Source organism: Homo sapiens, chromosome 2, assembly GCF_000001405.40.
Source record: "Homo sapiens chromosome 2, GRCh38.p14 Primary Assembly".
In the NCBI taxonomy this organism is placed as follows: Eukaryota; Metazoa; Chordata; class Mammalia; order Primates; family Hominidae; genus Homo; species Homo sapiens.
The window spans coordinates 39735978-39758398 of record NC_000002.12 but is presented as its reverse complement, the minus strand read 5'-3'; the positions used below and the strand labels follow the sequence as shown (position 1 = coordinate 39758398).

The window sequence follows — 22421 nt, the reverse complement described above, 5'->3', positions numbered from 1 at the left end:
TGAGCATCACTTGGCTCAGCAGAAGCAAAAAGCTTAGAGTTGAGAGTGGAGGAGGGAGCCTCTTTCAGATTACCAGGTACCCAGAACCCATGATTTTCTCTTTTTTTGTTTGATTTAAATGTTTAGTTCAGATTTTTTTAGTATAAAGAAAGAGGTATGGTTAATTTTTTCCCAAACTGCCAGTGGTTTCACCAGAGTTTGTATTTAAATATAAATTTATATAATCACCTACACATTTGAAATGTTACCTTTGTTTTAATATAAACATGTTTTTCAGAAAAGTCAAAAGTAAATGATCAAAAATATACAAAGATAATGCTTGATAAAACTTTTCCTTACTGTGTATTTGCCCTGGGACTACAAAAAGTAAGAAATGTCTCTCCAAATGTGACCACTGGCAAAGGAGGTCTGTTAAAGAACCTAGGAAATGGCATAGTAGAGTTCTTTTGGAGGGAATGTGGTAGTGACCCACAATCTAAGTGACCCCAGTATCCAACCTGATCCATTTCCCTCTTTGGAGCTTGGTACCCAGAGCAGTACACAGACAGCTCAGCCTTGGGTAAGGCCAGTGCCACTAAAAATGAAATTTAAAAATGGGATGTTTGTTATTTATCATGTTTACTATAAACTGTTCTCCTTCCTACATATCATAACAAGGAAAATCAAGTTCTATAAATCTTAATTGTTGTTGTAAGTATACAGAAATACATCTCTACCTCAGCCTGTGTCTACAAGTGTCATGGCAAGAAAAGGTCCTAAGGTAAAGTAAAGCCATCTAAAGATACTTCAGGTCAGATTATGTCATTGAACACAGACCATGGGAGAGAAGGAGCACAGCGTATGGCACATTTGAGATCCTAATAAAAATGGGTTCTCATGCTATTAACAATTTTCAACAAAATTTGCATTTAAATTTTTCCTTCTGCTCCTTACTGCCCCTTCATGGGGGATTTGTGTGATATTCTCTTTAAAATTTAGTACCAGGGGAAGGCTTCTGTCTCTTGAAGAACATTTTGTTTCTTTCCATTAGGTACCATATGGCTCTGACTGAAACCTGGCTGTGCACTGAGGACTCTGCTTCCTCTGTAGACATATCAAGTGGTGGATGTCTTTTCTCCCCTATCTCGAGCACGACTGGGCCTGACAGTGGGGTACGTTCCTGCTTGCTCCTCCTTGCCCCTTCTAGACAATTGTTTTCTCCCGTCTGCCCAGAACCTCATAGTGCCTTTGAAGCACATGCCATCAGATCACCCCAGTCAGAGTTCTCTCCCTCTCATTCCTGTAAGAGTACAGACCATTATCCCGTCATGATTCTTTGGTCTCTAACCACTCAGTAACCTGCCTCTTCATTTCTTGGCTTCCCTATTCATCTGCTGTAGTCACATCCTAGACCTTGTCATACCCAGAAGGGTATCTCTTCCAAAAATCTCAGTTTCTTTTTTTTTTTCTCCAATACCATTTATTATTATTATTATTATTATTATTATTACATTTTAGCTTGCATTTACTAAGTGTCATGGAAATATTATACTCAGAGTAACAGAGCTCCGGAGAAAGACCATTAACTAAGAAAGAACAGTTTCACTTTCTTAGCATGTCAACTTCTAGTTAGCCTGCTTGCCTCCGCACCACAGATGCTTGTCTTCTTGTGATTGTTACCGTATAATTGTCAAGCCAAAGCTTGAATTTACACGTGGCATCGGCTTGGTATTGATAATTTGTATTCAGGAATCTTGTTCTTAACCACCTCCTCTTTCCTGTTCACTTCCTCTGCTACCCGAACACAAATCTTTAACCCCACGGGGCCCTCCAGTCATTTGACCAGACCCGTGTTCCTTACCACCTGTGCTCATCCCTCCTTCACAGCTTGTATTTTAAAAAGTTCGATCATTATAGTCATTTCCTTGCCATTTTTTTTTTTTTTTTGAGATGGAGTCTCGCTCTGTCGCCCAGGCTGGAGTGCAGGGGCGCGATCTCTGCTCATTGCAAGCTCTGCCTCCCAGGTTCACGCCATTCTCAGGCTCTCTTCCTTCTTATTTGACTTAAATAATAGAATCACAAGAGAACTTCTGCATGTTCTCCTCACCAAGTCTACCAGCATACCAGAATCTATGCCCACATACTCTGCCTTATTGTCATTACAATAAGGGAGCTGTCCTTGTTCCACACTAATACTTGTGTGCTGGATTCCATTGCCTCTTGTAGACTTAGGGATTTTTCCTTCTACTGGGTCATCCCCATCAGCATGTACACCTGCTGAAATATCTTTCAACTTAAAAAAATAAAAACCCTCCCCTGAACCCATCTGTCCCTTCAGCCACCACCCCTTTAAAATGTAATCTTTCCTCTTGAAATATTGATTCCTCAAGTTTTAGGTTTCTTTTATAGTACGTACTATGGTAGTCTTAATAATACCAAATTAATATTTCTGTCTGCAGGCTGGTGCATTTGTTTTAGATCCAATGTGTGGACTTGGAACAATACTTTTGGAAGCTGCTAAAGAATGGCCAGTAAGTTCTAAAGTTTGGTAAAGCAAGCAATTTATCTACTTTAATCAGTATATGTAGTATAATCACCAATTATTTACAAGTAGAATGTCTATTTGGGGATTATTTTTAATTATATGAGTTATTATTTACTCAAAATAGATGATGAGGGACTAATGAAATTGCTATGTTGTTTCTTTAAATACTATGATAAATTTAGGAAAATATGAGAGAATTCTAATCATTAGTCATGACCTAGATTATACTAATCCTCAAATTCTTTAGACACTTGTCATTGTAAATGTTAACAGATTTTTAAAATTTTAACAAAAACTTTACATTTTTTGCTACTATGATTTTAAAAGAATACCCTAAATGTGTTTTGACCTGAATTTAAAATCTACTAATTTCACTTGTCATTTGAGAAAATGCAAGTCGATTTTCTTAACTACATGAAATATGTAATAATTTTATTTATGCTTAAAATATTTATTTCCCCATAGGATGTGTATTATGTAGGTGCTGATGTCAGCGACTCACAGTTACTAGGTACTTGGGACAATCTGAAAGCTGCAGGCCTTGAGGATAAAATTGAATTACTTAAAATCTCTGTTATAGGTAAGATACTAAAAATGCAAAACAATTGAGAAAAGGAACAATGTAAATATATTTAGAATCATAATATAAAACAAGTCTCACTATGTAAAGGTTGGTTTTACCCTTTAATATATCTGTGGGACTAATACTCAGTTTACTTCTAATAGTCTAACCTTTTTATTTTCAAAGTGTTCATAATTGGGAAGCAACAATTCTATAGTTTTCGTAAGCATGTAAAGCATGACTTCTTAAAATGTGTTTGTTAAAAAAAGAAAAAAAAAGTGTTGCATCTGAACCATTTCTCGTATCAGAACCAGTGATCGTTTAAAATAGCCATAAAGAAAGCAGTGTAATAATAATTCTTTGAATTTCTTTTGAATAAATAATATGAAATGTTCTGAATTATCTTACTGTCTTGCCTCACATTAGACAGTATCCGTGAGATACACAGGAGTAAGCTAACCACCCATCCCAATTTGCTAAACCAGGACTTTTAGTGCTAAAATCAGCAAAGTCTGGAGTAAACCAGGACAGTTGGCCACCCTGTGAGGTAGAGGGAAAACAGTACCCTGTTTAATGAAGGGGAATCAGCAGTGACACACATAACTAGGAATCAAGTCTATTGAGGCCAATCAAAATAATATTTTCCTGAGATCCCTGGCGTTTAGACAATTTTTAAAAACTATTCCTTGTTTTTTTCTTATTCCCCCAGTATATGTCTCTCCCTTAAATAATGAGTGAATTTAATTCCCAGGTAAGAACATTGTATTCTGTTGACAGTGATAGGTAGTAGATAGGTCCCAGTATCAGACCTATAATCAGGAGGAATAAAATACGTTTAAGAAATTTTATTGTAGTGGAAAAGTAGTAAAGATGAGTATCAACAGAAGAAAATACTAGGATAACTTGCATAAAAGCATAATAAAGCATCCCCAAAGAAGAAATTGTCTTGTTGATTGAGATCTCATAGTTGTTTGCTGCCAGTGACTTTTATTTTTAAGCCTTTCTGCCAAGGTTTTTAATAGGACTCTGTGCAGGAGACACAAGTTTGTAGAGCAAACTAAGGGGTGACTAGACTGCAAGCTTTCATGATCCCTAATTTCTTTAAGAATGCTATTTCTTTGAAACCTTTAAGAAAACTGAAATTGGTTCCTAAATTGTTCCAGAGCAGTGAGTTTTCAATCCCTTTACATTCTCCAAAGCACCTTGTAGGCATGAAGGAGGGAGTACTGAGTTGGCCATTGGACCTCTGTTGCACTCCCAGCTTCACTTTTATGTATTTTCACTTTAGGGGGCATTTTCTAAAAGATTTCATTTAAAAAACAGTCAGAAGTGCTCCACTGTTTGTGTGTGTGTGCTTTTTAAAGGTTCTCTGTGGTACCAGGTAACTGCATAAATCTTAGTTTTGAAAGGATTCCTCTTAGACTTTAGTGAGGGAAGGACAGTAACAGAGAGACTAGAAAGAGACTGTTGCAACTCTAGTTATAATCCAGGTAAGAAATGACAGTGGCCTGGCCCAAGGTGGTATTCAAGGAGATGTCGAGAGAAGGTCAGATATACATCTGGCAGACAGAGCCAACAGAATTTGTTGTCAGATTGGATGTGGACTATGAGAGAGAGAACATTCTAAGCTTTCTGGCTTGAGCAGCTAGAGGATTGAGTTGTCGTTACTGAGATGGGGAAGACGGATGGTGGATCAAGTTAGAGTTTAGGACCTGTTAAATTTCGCACGATTATTAGACTCTAAGTGAAGATGTCAAGTTAGTACCTCAGTATACAAATCTGGAGTTTAGGGGATCACCAGTATAGAGAATCACCAGTATAGAGAACATTTAGTTTCATGAGATCTCCTAGGGAATGAGTGTAAGTAGAGAAGGGAAAGGGGACTGAACCTTGGAGTACTCAGATGCTTGGACTTCTGGAAGGTGAGCATCTGGTAAAGGAACAGCTGGTGATGTAAGAGAGTAAAAATCCGGGGAAGAAAGATAGATCAGCTGTGTCAGCTGCTTCTCATTGGTGGAGTACAATGAGGCCTGGTGACTGCAGAAGTCAAGGGCAGCTTCCCTGGAGGGGCTCTTGAGAGAATGGGAGGAGGTAACTTGAAAACAACTAGTTTAGAGCATTTTCTTGAGCAGTTTGGCTAATGAGGAGAGCATAGAAATGGGACAGTAACTGAAAGAAAGGATATTGGGGATCAAGCAGGGGTTTTTTTGAACATAGAAGTTAGAATTTTTTTGTATATAGAATGTTTGATCTCACTAAAGAGAAAGATCAAATGAAAAGGAGGAATTTGGCATGACGGAGGAAGGAGGAGAATTGCTTGTCTGCTATATCCAGGCCCCTGAAAAAGGATGGGATCCAGTGCATGAGTGGTTGGGCATGCACTTCTAGGAGCAGGGGAAGGCAGAGGGAGGAGAATAAACCTTAAAACAGGTCACACCAAACCGGTAGTGGACATAAGTGCACTCTTCTCCACTGTTGATACTGGAGATTATAATTTTTATTACAATTTTTTAAACTCTACACATTTGATAGGTTTGCTTAAATTTACCTTTCATTACTACTGAGATAAACTTTTTCATATTATATCATTTGTAAATGATTCTTCTGTGAGTTGTTTTTAGGATAACTTTCTGGAGGAAAGAATAAAACATCTGTTTTAGGTTGTTTCATCATCACAACCTCTTAGTATTAAGTTTCAGTCTAGGAGGAACTATATGTCTTGCTAATACAGGGGCCAATTTTAACTAATAATTAGCCCTTTATTGCACCTACTTCAGAGGTAAACATTCAGGCTAGATAAAAGCGTTTATTTTCTTCATTAATTTGGTTTTTAAGAGCTCTAATTATAAATACAATTTAGAGTGTTGAGATATGTGAATCCCTTGTTTAAGGGATCTCATGCCTTTTTACTATAGGAATTAAGAACACTTACCGACTTTAAGAGTCACACCAAGTATAAATCCTAGCTCCACCATCGTTTTTTCACTGTATGGCCTTCAGCAGAAAAACTGGACCTCTCTTTATTTTCTCATCTGTAATATGAAGATTATAATAATACCACTCCATAAGGCTGTGATGAGGATTTATTACATAAACACACAGAGTACAGTGTGTAACACACAGCATGAATTAGTAAGACATCTGTAAGCACTGGTATGTTGGTATACCTAGGAAGTTAGTAATAATCATTCCTATTATGACTTACATTTCTATAAAATCACAATCTTCAGCCTCTGTGTGCATTAATGACTTTATTTTTTCTACCTTTTTAATAAGCATTCACTTTGTTTTATGACCCTCAACTAATATAAAAAGAAATTATCTTAGTCAGGCGCAGTGGCTTTATGCCTATAATCCCAGCACTTTGGAAGGCTGAGGCAGGCAGATCAGTTGAGCTCAAGAATTCGAGACCAGCCTGGCCAACATGGTGAAACCCTGTCTCTACTAAAACTACAAAAACAAAAAAAATTAGCCAGGCGTAGTGGCTGTAGTCCCACCTACTTGGGAGGGGAAGGCAGAAGAATCGCTTGAACCTAAGAGGTGAAGGTTGCAGTGACCCTAGATTGTGCCACAGCACTTCAGCCTAGGTGACATGGCGAGACTCCGTCTCAAAAAAAAAAAAAAAAAAAAATCTTTTAATATGAATAAATCATATGTATTTATTCCTAAGTTTTAATCGTTATGAAAATTTAGAATCAAATGAATATTATAAGTTTTCTTAGGAAATAGCAATTAGTCATTAGTTAGGCTTTTTTAAATCTGCAGATATATTTACATTCTCAGTATAAGATAGAAACTATAACATAAACAGATTTGAGCAAAAGAAACACATTTATGATTTAATTAAAATGGCAAAATTATAGCTAAAAGGAAATATTTTCTTTCCTTCCAATTAGGCATTCTGTAGCTGGTCACACATCACTTAAGTGTAGGTTTATAACAAGATTATTGGCAACAGTTGTGCTTTGTTCTCAAGTGTTTCCACTCTTGTAGTAAGATGGCATGCTTTTTTCAGGACACCCATAAGCACCGCATAATAAGGTGTTTGCATTTTCTTTCATACTGGTTTGTTTTCTCCTTGCTGCCTGTCATGCCTCTGCTGGCTTGGCCTTGGTGTTCTAGCCAGGTGTCTTATATGGCCCACGCCGTATTCTGCAAGATTCATGAAGCTGCCAGGCTGCCCATTTGGGAAATCAGAGGGAAATGTGGAAAGTGATGGGGTAGGTGTATATGAAATATGTGTAGAAAATAGGGGATAAGTTCAACATAGAGAGTAGTTCACATGTTCTTGCTGCTAAAGCTTTATCATTTATTTTATGGTATAAGTCCTTTTTTATTGTTTGGTAACACTTCTGTTTTGTAACAAACTCTTTCAGAAGCAATAAGGTTTTAAAAATGCATTTTTAATGAAAAAGTAAGTATTGAGCTTCTATTTCTTAAGACAGCTGATGAACATATAACTTGAGTCAATATTTGTTGATATTTACAATCCTACTGTGAAGGCCATGGCGATATCACTGACCAAATGAAACAAGTCTGTTTATAGAGGGATCTAGCATTTATCTTAAAACTCAGTAGTTCTTAAACAATTTTTTTTTGTTGTTTTTTGAAACAGTCTTGCCCTGTTGCCCAGGCTGGAGTGCAGTGGTGCAATCTTGGCTCACTGCAACCTCCACCTCCCAGGTTCAAGCAGTTCTCCTGCCTCAGCCTCCCAAGTAGCTGGGATTACAGGCACACACCATCACCCCCAGCTAATTTTTATATTTTTAGTAAAGACAAGGTTTCGCCATGTTGCCCAGGCTGGTCGCAAACTCCTGAGCTCAGGCAATCCACCCGCCTTGGCCTAACAAATTTATAAGAAAAAAACAACCCCATTAAAAAGTGAGCAAAAGACATGAGCAGATACTTCTCAAAAGAAGACATTCATATGGCCAACTAACATACAAAGAAAAGCTCAACATCACTGATCATTAGAGAAATGCGAATCAAAACCACAATGGGAAACCATCTCATGCCAGTCAGAATGGCGATTATTAAAAAGTCCAGAAACAACAGATGGTGGTGAGGTTGTGGATAAAAGGGAACGCCTTTACACCGTTGGTGGGAGTGTAAATGACTTCAACCGTTGGGAAGACAGTGTGGTGATTCCTCAAAGATCCGGAGGCAGAAATACCATTTGACCCAGCAATTCCATTACAGTGCATATATCCAAAGGAATGTAAATCATTCTAGAATAAAGATACATGCACACATATGTTCACTTGAGCACTATTCATGATAGCAAAGACACAGAGTCAACCCAAATGCCCATCAGTGACAGACTGGATAAAGAAAATATAGTACATATATACCGTAAAATACTGTGTAAACATAAAAAGGAACAAGATAATGTCCTTTGCAGGGACATGGATGGTGCTTGAAGCTGTTATCCTCAGCAAACTAACGCAGGAACAGAAAACCAAACACTGCATGTTTTCACTTATAAGTGGGAGCTAAACGATGAGAACACGTGGTTGGGGGACAACACACACAGGGGTCTGTCAGGGGGAGGTGGGAGGGGAGGGAGAGCATTAGGAAGAATAGCTAATGGATGCTGGTCTTATTACCAAGGTGGTGGGTTGATCTGTAGCAAACCACCACGGTACACACATTATGTAGCAAACCCATACATCCTGCACATATACCCTGGAACTTAAAAGTTGAAGGAAAAAAAATAAAAACTTAGTAATTCTAAGAATGCTAGGCCCAAAGCCAACAATTTATCACATGCAACTGAAGAAAATGCATTTAAAATATCACTCTGTGAAGTATGACTTTCCCTTTAGATCAAATGGCTATTCTAAATTTATTTTGCTCATATTCAATTGTGAGTTTTGTTATGCACCTAAGCAAAATGAAGCTGGTACTGTTAATGTGCTGGCTTCATTAGCAGAAGACCTTTGCAGATAGTTAAATGTTGCCAGTTTTGTATCAATATCATCACATAATTTAGAAAGATAATCAGTTAAGTCAATTCCAGTAGTAGCTTTGTTTCTTTTTTACTCTCTTCGAAATTTCATAGGGTTTTTTTCTGTCAAAGATGCAACTTCTTTGTGAATGCTACTGTGAATTCAGTTTGGCATTGCCAATCTGTGTGCTTATGCATTACTTTGGTGGGCCACAACATCATGCTAAAAATTAATATTCTTATTAAAACCTATGGAGCAGAAATGCACTTGAAATTTAATGTTATACCCATATAATTCATAATTACCTCCAAACAGGCTGTAGTGTCCATTGAAACAGACACTTGTCAAAATAATTGAATTTTGTTTTGTTTTTTTTTTTAAGAGAGAGACTTGCTCTGTCACCCAGGCTAGAGTGTAGTGGTCTGATAATAGCTTACTGCAGCCTTGAACGAACTCCTGGGCTCAAGCAGTCCTCCCATCTCAGCTTCCCAAGTAGCTAGGACTGTAGGAGGTACTCACCACCATGCCTGGCTAATTTTCTTTTTTAAAAAAATAGAGATGGGGTCTCACTGTATTGCCCAGGTTGGTCTTAAATGATCCTCCCAGCTCAGCCTCCCGGAGTGCTGGGATTACAGGTGTGAGCCACCCCATACCTGGCCACTTTTTTTGTTTTTTTTTGAGACAGACTCTCACTCTGTCGCCAGGCTGGAGTGCAGTGGCGCAATTTCGGCTCACTGCAACCTCCGCCTCCTGGGTTCAAGCAATTCTCCCGCTTCAGCCTCCTGAGTAGCTGGGACTACAGGCGCATGCTACCACGCCCAGCTAATTTTTGTATGGGGTTTCACCATGTTGGCCAGGATGGTCTCAATCTCTTGACCTCATGATCCACCTGCCTTGGCCTCCCAAAGTGCTGGGATTACAGGCGTGAACCACCGTACCCGGCCTTCTTTTTAAAATATACACAGAACAGATGAACTGCAAACTATTTGTGTTGAAGATGACTGAATGCAAAAAAAATGCTTCTGCATAACAGTACACTTTCTTTGCTTGTCCATCAGTTGGGTTTTAAAGTGTAAGCCTTCAAAGAATTACTCTGTAAATCAGCCAAAGTGTCCTAGGGTGGTGCTATAAACTTTACCAAAAAAAAGTTGCCTAATTTTGATGGCATTTTATTCAGAATATACTGGAAATCTATAATCAAAGGATTCAACAAATGAAGTGCCAAAATACATTAGCTTTTGAATTTTTTGGTGAATTACAGTTGTTAAAGCTGGCAGCAGGAAGACATTGATCATCTTTCCCTAAAAACACGAAGAAATGAACAAATATTGAAAGCTCAACAATGCACAAGACTTAATTATGAAATTCTATAAATATTCTTTGGATATGGTATGGAAAGAATCTCCTGATGACTTTCCTTATTGTAATTGGATAAATTTGTAGTCTAGAATGGAATGGAATGAAATTGTGAAGGCCTTAATTTTGTATCATCTAAATTTGGTAAAACAATTAAAAGAATAATAGAGATAATTTGAGTTTTGTAAACATATTTGTCAAAGGCACTGTCAATGGAGGGACTGTGAACTGGAAGGCTGAAATATTTACCCTTTCCATATGAAAAAATAGAACTGAAAGTATATTTCATTTACTAGAACTTGTTCAGATATTAGCACTGTAGGCAAATTATTTTTTCTCAAAAAAAAGTCTTTTATTAAACTTAAAAATTTCATTTTGCACAGATACGTTTTCAGGGCCACCATAATAAACCAATTTATTGGATAATAAATATTTCAAATATTTCAAAGCATATAATTTTCATATAAAATAAAGAGCATAGTTATTTCTAGCATTCTCTTCTCAGAAATGTTCATTTGGACTATAAACTGTATGGTGACCCAATCCAGATGTCAGACTACATTTTGCGTGTTTAAGACTAATGTTTATGGACTTCTTGATTAAGATGACAGATCAAAATTTCATTGAAAGCTTTACGCCCTCTTGTACTTACTGAAATGAGAAAAAGAATAGTAATCATCAAAGAAAACAAATTCAGCAACCAAACGAGAGAAGGTCATAATCTAATGCAATAAACCTCAAAATATATTTTGGCCACAATAAAATGTTATAGAGCATTTGAAAATAGAATAGTGGTTATTTACAAGGTTCTGAGATGCTATTTACAAAGTTACCAAAGCAAAGTGTAACCCAAAAATATTATGCCTAACCAAAACATCATCTTAAGGACAAACATTTTGAAATATGAAAAAGTTCCGACAACATTTCACACTAAGTCCTTTGGGGAAAAGTATTTAATCCAGGCATTAAGAGATTAATTGGCTGAGAAATGGAGAAAATCAAGGCAAAATGATTAGTGATAAGGATGAAATTAATTTAACTGTAGAACTAAGTTTAAACAATTATGGGAATTACTGTTAGGAGACAGAATATGAATATTATAAACCTGGACAATAAACAGAAAGAACAAGGAACAAAAATAGGAAGAAGGATATGTTCAGTTTTATAAAAGTGCTCAATGAACCTGGTCTTTAGTTTAAATATATGCATGAAAAGACATCTTGAAGGCCCATAAATCCCTTTGGAAGAAAGTATCTTGGGGCCATAGTCCTGAGTTTTAGGAAATTTTTACCCATTTTTCTCCTGGAAGTAGGAAAAATAGGGCAGTTTTTTTCTTCAAAACAACTGGTATTTTAAAACTAAATTTTTTTTTCATGTTCTTGAATCATCCTGCAGAGATGTAAAAAGATGATTTTTACTTGTTTTGAGCTATGTTTCTATTTCAGAATCTTAGCTGATTAGTTACAAGCAAATTTTTTGTTCACAAGCAGTATTTAAAGCATCTAATAATTTAAAAGATTTTACTGTATGTTGAATCGTATCGGTCAGGTGCTCATGGTTCTAGGAGTACCTGCATCTAAACCTACGGAGATGGGGACAACAATCTGTTTTACAAAGACCTTTCAGTTGATTCTAATACGCACTAAGTTGTAGTTTCCAGATGATACTGATGCTACTGCTATGGGGACCACACTTTGAGAACCACTGCTAGAGGAAAGGAGAGCAGGAGAGAGGCCCACCTGGAAGTAGTTGCCCTACCTCAACCTTGGATGCCCAAGAATGAGGGAGAAGGGGATACTACTGTGTTCTGCAAAGCTTTTTTGAAGGATGGCGCACTGGTTTCCACCTGGCTGTCATCTCCCATTTACATCAGAGAGGGACATTATAAATAATGACCACAAAGCAGCTAACGGTTACTGAATGCTCACTTTGTGCCAGGCCGTGTTCTAAATGTCTTCCATATATTAACCTCTTTTATTGACTTCTGAGGTACATAATCTTATTCCATTTTACAGATGAAGAAACTGAAGCAGTAATTTCCCAAAGTCCCACAGTTAGTGAGCAGCAGAGCCAAATGCAAGCTGTCTGACTCCAGAGCTTATGCTCTCAACCACATCAAGAAAAGCTTTGATTATTTTATGCTCTATTGGAAGATGACACTGCTTAGTTCTGGAGATTTTTTTTAAAAATTATTCTCTTCCATCTATATGAAGTTTATGTATTCAACTTCTAAATTTATTTAAAGCACTTTAGCATATTATATAATATAGAGCAGCAAAGTTCCCAATAAAAATGGAGACCCAGAAGAAAAAAATCATTGTTTCTAAACCTGGACATAATGGGCAGCTAACTCATACGTAGGTACTGTGTGTGTAGTGTGAGGCAAAAGAAAGACTTGGGATTAAATTCAAAAGTAAATTACTACATGCTTCCTCATAAATAAAACATTTGAGAACTATGGTTGCCTTCGTTGTCTATTTATTGTCTTTAGTCATTTTGTAAATGGATGTGTACTATATCAACACCCTAAAACCATGAGGTTAAAACATAACTTGGAAAAAAGGAATTCCTGTCTCAGCTTAAAAGAATATTATCCTTCTTTTTTTCGAACAATCTACTCTTCTTCTATTAACCCCACATAAGGGTTAGAACTAGGAGAGATCTAGCAAGTAGTCATTAGACTTTCCGAGATTACAAAGCACTTTTTGTTGCTAAATTTCCTACCAACAGAAACTTTTGATATTTAGTGAAGATTATTTAAATTTCATTACATTTCTGCAAAATTAGGTACTATTCAAAATGAAAATTGGGACATCTGTCTTATGAGTATTTAACTGAATTTAGGAGATGGATGAGAAGTAAAATAAGTAAAAAGTGGAAAGTACATCTAGAAGATGTGGATGTTAGGGTAGAGTGTACTGTGTTACTTTCTGATAACGTAACTTCTGAGAAGAAAACATTAAGATAAAGCAATTTAGAATTAATCAGACACAATAATTTTTAGTGATAATCATTGTGTTGATTATTGATTATGTAGCCTTTTCTCTAGTCTTAGGACTTAATAGATATTCTTAACCTTCCAAATTCTCTTTTAAAAATACAATGATAGCTATGGATCCTCTCCCTCAAAAACAAGTAGATCTAAACGTACAGTTTTAAAATGGGAAATGAAAGTTGTAGAATATAATTTTGTGGAAGATTTTTCTAGGCAATTTAGTGGAGCTAGCAGCTTTCTATACAAGCTATATATTTAGAGAATTGAGTTTTCTGGCTAATGTAAAATTCTGCTTAACTTACATTTTATTGTATCTGAAAAACCAATTTTCAACGAACAGAATACAATAACTATCATTTATCATTAGTGATTGTGAAAGCATTTTGGGATCTTGTAATTACTTTAAAACAATATTAGCAACCCTAAATGTTAATCTGTTACGCAAAAATAATCCTGTGTACTTCAATTTTCTCATTATTTAAGTTGTAAATATTTGACCCTACTGTAATAGGATTCTCTGATTTCTATATTTCAGAATTGCCATTGCCTTCAGAAAGTGTTGATATTATTATTTCTGACATTCCATTTGGGAAAAAGTTTAAGTTAGGAAAAGACATCAAAAGCATTCTACAAGAAATGGAAAGGTAAGTTGTTGAATTTATTTTCATAATTTTTTTAGCTACTGGGCATTTAACCGAAATACATCATAGCTCTTCAGTTAAGGTCTGATTGCTTTTTAGCAATTTCCCAGAGTTTTTGTAGCTTAATTTTCTAAGGTTTTAAGTCAGAAGTTTATAATTGAAATAAATGTTATCCATATCATCTTACACTATAAATTTTATTCAGAAAAATATTAATTTTCTATTATGTACTGAGATTTGAATGTATGAAATAGTGACCTATATTTCAGTCAGTGGTCTGAAGCAAAATTTTACATATTTGCTTCCATCCCTCACAAAAAAAAAAAAAAACCTGCCTTCTCTGTGTTAATCCCCCACACTTAACAGATGAGAATCTGGGGCACAGAAAGATTAACTTTCTTATGATCACTCTGCTACTAAACAACAGAACAGAATTCTGTTAAATAAGGAACCTTCCATAACATAGAATGGGCAACACCTTATTATTTATTGTTGTCTTTGTCCATTTTCTGTTGCTATGAAGGAATACTGGAGGCTAGAGAATTTGTAAAGAAAAGAGGTTTACTTGGCTCATGATTCTGCAGTCTGTAAAAGAAGCACAGTGCCAGCATCTATCTGCTCAGTTTGTGATGAGGGCCCCAGGCTGCTTCTAGTCATGGCAGAAGGCAAGCCCGGTGTGCAGAGATCACATGGCAGGAGAGGAAGCAAGAGGGAGAAGGGGGAGGTGCCAGGCTCTTTTTAACAACCAGCTTTCCCTGGAACTAATAGAGTGAGAACTCAATTATCACCCCTCACAGGGAGGGCATTAATCTATTCATGAGATATCTACCCACATAATCCAAATACTTCCCATTAGGCCCCATCTCCAACACTGGGGATCAAATTTCAACATGAGGTATAGGGGGACAAACATCCAAACTATAGCAGCTCTGAAATGAAAATGTGAAAGTATTCATCTTATGGTTTCTAATGACCTAAGGGAATATAATTCAGTGGAAGCATTCCTTTGAGAGATTGAAACAATGAGTCATGGATATGCATTTTTCTAATGGTTTAAATTGGTGAAGAAGAGAACATAGAATGCATACAGTTATGAATGGACATGAATATAAGAGGTCAGTTGATACTAAATTGTCTAGCTGGGAATTTGATAACACACATTTCAAGAGCCTGCTATGTAAATAATGGGTCACCAATTTAAAATATGAGCCATGTGTTTTAGATGGAGAAAAATCAGGGTCAAGTCTAACATTCTATAAGGAAAATTAAATCTTGACACTTAGTCTAAGCTCAACTAAAAGTCATCTCACTGCATTTTGGGAGCTGAGTGTCCCATGCTTCTTTAGGGATTATCTTATTTCTAAGCAACTTTCCCTGCTACCCAGTTGCCTAACTCTTGAAATATTACCTGAGACCTCTCCTTCTGGACAGCACCTATAATTCAGACATTTCATGAGCACCTGTACTCCCTGCTGCCCAATATCACATTCACCTTGAGCAGATTTGGCAACCCTGACTTCATATAAAAATCATTTCAGGAGCTTTTAAAAAATACTGATCCCTGCTATCCACCCCTCCCCACGAAGGCGCTAACTTAATTTATCTGGTGGAGGACTCAAGCATTGGTAGTTCTTAAACACTCCCAAGGTGATGCTGTAGTGCAGCCAGAGTTAATGACTGCAGTCTTTGAACCTAACTAGATAATCTGCATCTATACCTTTAACCAATTCATGGTGAGATACTAATGTGTGAGCAACGATTTACATTTAACCTAGAAGCTTCCAGAGAGATGGTGGCTTACTCTAACTGAAAATCTAATGCTGCATATTATAGCACCTCTACAAGTCAGTGGAGGGCAGTATTATGAGTAGACAGTTCTTTCAGCCTAGTAAATTATACCAGCCTGACTTTCTCTAGGATGGGTTTGGTTTTTATTCCAGGTGATTGATTGAAAATGAGACAGTAATAGATGTGACAGCCCTCACATTGTCACATTGTGATATTTAAATACTTAAGAATCAGGAAAATGCATATTCCTGACTTCCTGCAAAACTAAAGTGCCTCAGTGGGACCAGTTTAAAGTGTATGTATTTGGATATAAGGGACTTTTCCTTCTGTGACCAAGCTTCCTTGCCACCTGTCCCCAACCTTTATGTCTGACTTTTGTTTTTGTTTTTTTTATGGTTTGAAGTTTTATACAGGCAGTGTGGCATAATATAGTGGTGAAGTATAGGCTTTGGAGACAGACTACCTGAGTTCCACTCTTGGCTCTATTACTTAATAGTTCTTCAGTCACAGGCATATTGCTTAACCACTTGCCTATCTTTAATACCCACTTAATGGCATTGTTCTGAGTCAGTGGATTTAAAGCTCTTACAACAGTGCTGGCCACCTAGAACTTACTCAGTATCTGTTATCACTTACCTGATTTTTTAGTGTATACCACTGAAAATCCTTTTGGGAAGTGTGTGAGGATATATTTAAATATATCGGAGTACACATAATTTTTATCCCAATGGTTTACTGATAGTTTAAGGCCCTAGATAGAAAATGGAAGGGATAGGAAATTGTGTTCATGAAAATACAACAAACCTGTTCATAACAGGCAGTGGAAATAGTACTGTATGTACTACAGAGCTGGACTCTTCGAGAAAGGACATGCAATCAGAATTAAAGATTGTCAGATAAATGATTACTCTGGTGGCATGAGCTATGCATTCTCAGCTCAATTATTTCCTCCTTTAATGTATTAAAGGATTATGGGTACAGAGCATTGTCAGGAATTCAGAGAAGTACATTTGAGTTTTCTCCTCAAATGTAACTGTGCAAATACATGAGCAAAATTAAAAATTCACCTTGCACCGCTTGAAGGAAGAAGGCATTGTGTGCCAAAGAGGCTTGAGATGGTTTCAGGAAGAAGCCAGATTTCAGTGAAATTTGGAAGTGAAGACAGAATTGAAAAGGAGACCACATCATGTTTATATGTACAGATGTTTATTAAGTATTTCTTGAGTGAGCAGTACAGCAGGAGGTGTGTTCATGGAACAATGAGTATACCAGACTGCCTGGAGCAAAGGATTTATAGTAGGTGGTTAAGACTTAATGTGTTCCATGGACAAATAATTTAAGATTATTTGTACCATCTACTCCTAGTTTTTCAGGTTCACATACGAAAGGGAAATCTCTTATGCTGTTTGATACAGACTTCCCCCAACTTACTGACTGCAGAGTTTTTTCTTAAGAAATAGTAATATTGTATTCTTATTATTATCATCACTGATACACTAGTGTTCAAAGGAATACAATTTGGTAAACATTGCTTTATAATTCTGAATAGCTTTCATAGTAAGAAATTATGTGTTTCTGGGCACAGTAGCTCATACCTGTAGTCTCAGCAACTCAAGATGCTGGGGTGGAAGGATCACTTGAGGCCAGGAATTCAAGACTAGCCCGGACAACATAGCAAGAACTCATCTCTAAATAAATAAAAAATTTAAAAATTAGCCAGGTGTGGTGGCATGCACCTTCAGTCCCACTACTTGGAAGGCTAAAGTAGGAGGATCGCTTGAGCCCAGGAGTTGGAGGCTGCAGTGGGCTGCGATCAAGCTACCTGGGTGACAGAATGAGACCCCATCTCTAAAAAGAAAAGAAAAGAAATTATGTGTATATGAACTAGGTGACACCAGTAGCTTGAGGTATGATCAAGCTGCCCAGGTGACGGAGTGACCCCATCTCTAAAAAAATAAAAAAAAAGAAAAGAAAAGAAATTATGTGCGTATGATCATGGAAAGATGCCTAGAAGGACATTTATGGAAAATGTTCATCTCAGAGTAGCAGGATTTCAGGTGATTTTCACTTTCTCTCCATTATTTGAACAAAATTACAATAAATGGTGACTGTCCTGTTAGGCATCTTGTCATGTACATATGCACAAAAGGATACATGTTTACTACTCTACATAAATAGGATTGTCCTTAATGTACTGTAGCATTGCTTTTTTTCTACTCAACAATGTCATGAATCTCCTTTCTGATCAGTTGTTACAATATACATTATAATTTTCAGTGGTTGCCACATTATATGTATGTACCATTATGCAACCAGTGCTTATGGATGAATATTTAGATAATCCCCAATTTTTTATTTTAAAAAAGAACTATTCTTTGAACATCCTTGCATGGTTTTTCAAACTTAACTATATGACCAAGCACCACAGTCACAGTATCACAGTTTCTTCATCTGCAAAATGACAGTGTTATAGAGCATACTTAGAAAGATAATTCTGAAGTTTAAATGATACATAATACAGAGCATATCCAACTGCCTGGCACATATTAAGTACTCAATAAATATTAGCTATATCACCATTATTATCACTGTTATTCTACTACTACTACTATTACATCTTCTTAGGATAATTTCCTAGAAGTGAGATTGCTGGGTCAAAGGTTATGTACATTTCATATTTTTGATACATGATTGCTAAACTGTTGCCCCAAAAAGTTACTTCAGTTTCTGTCTTCAAGAGTACTCATTTTCCCATCCACTTCTTCCTTGCTCAGTAGAAGAGGCTTCCCTCTTCCTGCAAGGGTTTATCCTCTCAGTTCCTTCCTCCTCAAGGATCACACTCTGCCCACTTCTCATTTTTATCTTCTGCCTACTCATCTGCCGGTTCTTTCCAGGAGATTCATTTATCCCTTCCCCAGACACGTTTGGAAGTCTTTGCATCTCCCATGCACTTGCATGTACTTGGCCCCGGGGATTACAGCAGTGAATACGACAGGCAAGGTCTCTGACCATTCATTGTGAGAAGACAGATGGTTAATCAGTAAACAAACTGGATAATGTCAGATCATGACTGGTACTGTGATGGACATAAAACAAAATGTTTTGCTTTAGAGTGAGAGAAAAGTAGTGGCTACCCTAGCTAGGTAGTCAGGAAAGGCCTCTCTGGGAAAGTGATATTTGACTGTGGGGCGTGAGTGATAAGAATGAGTGATAAACGCAGGGTGAACAGCAATTCCAAATGTCCTAAGGTGAGAAGCAGCTTGGTGAGTTTGAGCAGCTGAAGGAAGGTCAGTAAGCAAAGAAAGCAGGCAGTGACATCAAAAAGGTAGGTAAGGGTCAGATTGTGTAGGAGCCTTGGATGCCAGAGTAAGGGGGTTAGAATGTATTTGAAGTACAGTGCAAGCAACTGAGGAGTTAGCAAAGAATTTACATTTGTCTTCTGTGTGGAAACGGAAGACAGAGTGGGAGGGGCGACAAGAATGGAAACAAGACCTGTCTACCAGATTGTTGCTGTGGTCCAGGCAAACTATGAATGAAGTAGACAAATATGTGATACAATTTAGAGACAGAATTGTCTAGCTTTGCTGATGGATTAGACTAGGGAAAGCTACCTAAGCTTCTTAGATTTTTGCTGGGCATGAGGCAGATTCCCCTTAACTCTTGGTCCTTTAGCTGCCACTGTTTCTTTTCCTGTACAGCTGAACTTCTTGAAATAATGGCCTACACTTGACACCTCTGCTTCCTCAGTTTCCAGCCCCACTCTACCCTGGCAGACGAGCATCTGCTCCTGCCTTCAGCTAGGATTGCTGTCCCTGGGTTCACTGATTTCTCATAATCCTGATCACCTGTTAGTCCTATAGCATTTGTTATTTTACATATATATATAATTTATATATGTATATATGTGTATATATACATATAATTTATATGTATATAAATTATGTATTTATATGTAAATATATAATATATATTATATATATATTTTTACATATGTATGTGTGTAAAAAATAATTTTATTTTAAAGACAGGGTCTCTCTCTGTTGCCCAGACTAGAGTGCAGTGGTGCAATCTCAGCTCACTGCAACCTCTGCCCCCTGGGCTCAAGCAGTCCTCCCATCCCAGCCTCCCAAGTACCTGGGATTACAGGCACACGCCACCACACCTGGCTGATTTTTGTATTTTTTTGGTAGAGACATGTTTTGCCATGTTGCCCAGGCTGGTCTCAAACTCCTGTGCTCAAGCGATCCTCCCACCTGAGCCTCCCAAAATGTTGGGATTACAGGTGTGAGCCACCATGCCGGCCCTATAGCATTTGACACTGTTGAAACTGTTTCTTTCTTGAAACTGTACTTCTTTGGCTTCCTTGACATAACTGTTGTCCAGATTTTCTCTGAGGATGTCTACTTCATGGGTCTTCTCCTCCGTCACTTTTTAAATGTGAAATCTCTGCTCCCTGTCCCATTTTCTCTTCTCAACCTGTACTGCCACCCCAGGTGATCCCATCCACCATTATGGCTTTAGCTACCATTTACTGTATCTTTACCTCAAGGCCTGGTCTTTTCCATTACTCCAGGCTGTGTATCCAGCTCTCTGGTGGAATCCGCACTTATGTGTTCCTTAGGTACATCAGCACGTTCCAAGCTGAACTCCTTACTCCCCTCCTCCCTCCACTTCCCACCCGCTGTGACTCACCCACCCACTGAGCTGCTTTCAGAGCTGCCTCCTCTCCACTTCCTCCCGTCTTTGCTGCTTTTTCTGCTTCCAGCACCCTCCCTTGCTGCAGCCGCTTGCCGTCGCTTTGCCTGGCTCATTCCCACTTGTCTTTTAACTCATAGCACAGGTATCTTCCTCTGGGAAATTCTCTCCTCTGTCCCATGCTCGGGTTTGGGACCCACCTCATGTTCCCAAGCCCCTCATGCTTGCCTTGATTATAGCATTTTCACACCCTTTACTCGCCTCTCTCTCCCAAAGAGATGTTCAGTGATCTCTTGGCAACTTACAGGGCTATGTCACGGGACACAGGCAAGTGTTTTCATGACTTTTTCCACATAAGTGCTACATAGACTTTGATAATTGAGTAAATGCATTCTCCTCAAGAAGCTGACATTTCAAGATCTGCCCTTCTTTTTCTGATTTTTCCTTCGCCATTTCTTTGTTCGTGTCCTAACTCTTTCCTGTTAACTTTCTTCTGCTGTCAGGCTACTGCTTTTAATACATGCAGTCTTTAGGATTCTGTCATTTGCCTTTTCCTTTATACAATCATTTATTAGACCGTGACTACAAATTACTTTGAGGCTTGCCTTTTGAGTAAAAATAGATAATTAAAGCAGATTTGTACTAGGGATTTCATAATTACTATAATGAATATACATTATAGAAGATACTACCTAATTATCAAAAATCCTTATATTTAAATGGATAAAATTAAATTTCAAATTAAAAACATGAACCATTTTAAATGAAGTGGGATTGTTTGTTGTCTAGAAAGGAGAAAGATAGCAATTACCATTTTTTTTTTGTCACAGAGTGCTTCATGTTGGCGGAACCATTGTATTGTTGCTTAGTGAAGATCACCACAGGCGCCTTACAGATTGTAAAGAGAGCAACATCCCTTTCAATTCCAAGGACAGTCACACAGATGAACCTGGAATTAAAAAGTGCTTGAATCCTGAAGAAAAAACTGGTGCATTCAAGACAGCGTCAACTTCATTCGAAGCCAGTAACCACAAATTCTTAGACAGAATGTCACCATTTGGCTCCTTGGTACCAGTGGAATGCTACAAAGTTAGCCTTGGAAAGACAGATGCGTTCATATGTAAATATAAGAAGTCGCACTCTTCTGGACTGTAGCAGGCTTGCTGCCATCAGCCGGGTTCAGGCCCTTGTAAGTTAGCTGTACAGCAGAAGTTTGCTGTCTCTAGGATTCATATAGCACCCACAGAGCTCCAAGTAACCAAATTCCCCCAAAGACAGGAGGTGTGGCTGATGGGTACACATGCTTGGTAAGAGTTTCTGCTTTATATTCTAAAGTACTTAATGTTTTTGAGAAAAAAGTTATCGAATATTTTTTAGACTTAAGTTTTATCTTCTGTCAGAATGTGAAAAGTTCTGCCCAGTTTCTGAGCAAAAACTTCAATTTCAAAATAAAGGTTTTCAGGGGTTCACTTAAGTGTATCACAATCAACACCAGACGGGATATTTTAACTATCAGATTTTCGGAAATGTAAAAACCTTTATGTGTAACTTCTTTTGATATTAAACTTGATTTTTGAGCCTGTAATTTTCTTCTCCATTGGAATGAAAATAATTTGTATTTGCAATACATTTTATATGTTTATTATGTAAACCAACAGTGAGAATAATAACTGAATTAAGCCAGTATCCTTCAAAACATGATGGAAAATGAAATTTGCTTTTTTTCTAAAAGCATTCATACACTGTCACCTCGCCCTTATTTATATAGAAAGTCAGTTTGTTGCTTATGTTCACTACCTGAGAAAAAGAAACAGTAAGTTTGAGGAGAATATATGCTCTGGTTTAATGTTTTTCAATAGTGTGATACAATTGTTCAACTTATTGGCAGCTTTAGTGGTATTTGAACAACTTT

General features: G+C 37.4%; 1 protein-coding gene and 1 long non-coding RNA gene across 22 annotated transcripts in view; one reads left to right on the top strand and one right to left on the bottom strand.

The window, feature by feature from the left end:
* THUMPD2 (THUMP domain 2 tRNA and snRNA guanosine methyltransferase) overlaps positions 1-22339 on the top strand; it is a 43217-nt gene extending 20878 nt beyond the window's left edge. For 9 of the 20 annotated variants that reach the window (XM_011533119.3, NM_001321470.1, NM_001321469.1 and 6 more), the window contains 4 exons: positions 2439-2510; positions 2990-3104; positions 13921-14029; positions 21340-22339. In XM_011533119.3, coding sequence (XP_011531421.1) covers positions 2439-2510; positions 2990-3104; positions 13921-14029; positions 21340-21664 — 621 coding nt within the window. In that variant the 3' untranslated portion in view covers positions 21665-22339. Of the gene's footprint in view, positions 1-1030; positions 1152-2438; positions 2511-2989; positions 3105-7208; positions 7307-13920; positions 14030-21339 lie in introns of all 20 variants that reach the window. The other 11 variants (NR_135662.1, NR_135664.1, NR_135661.1 and 8 more) reach the window with 4 other exon arrangements.
* Positions 3055-21404, bottom strand: LOC124905994 (uncharacterized). Of its 2 annotated transcripts, XR_007086294.1 has the most exons (3): positions 21321-21404; positions 17410-17502; positions 3055-6118 (listed from the first exon to the last, which is right to left on the bottom strand). It is a non-coding gene; the product is annotated as an uncharacterized LOC124905994 (long non-coding RNA). The 2 variants fall into 2 exon arrangements; XR_007086293.1 differs by lacking the exon at positions 3055-6118 and having other exon boundaries at positions 16999-17502.
* Positions 22340-22421: the final 82 nt, after the last annotated feature.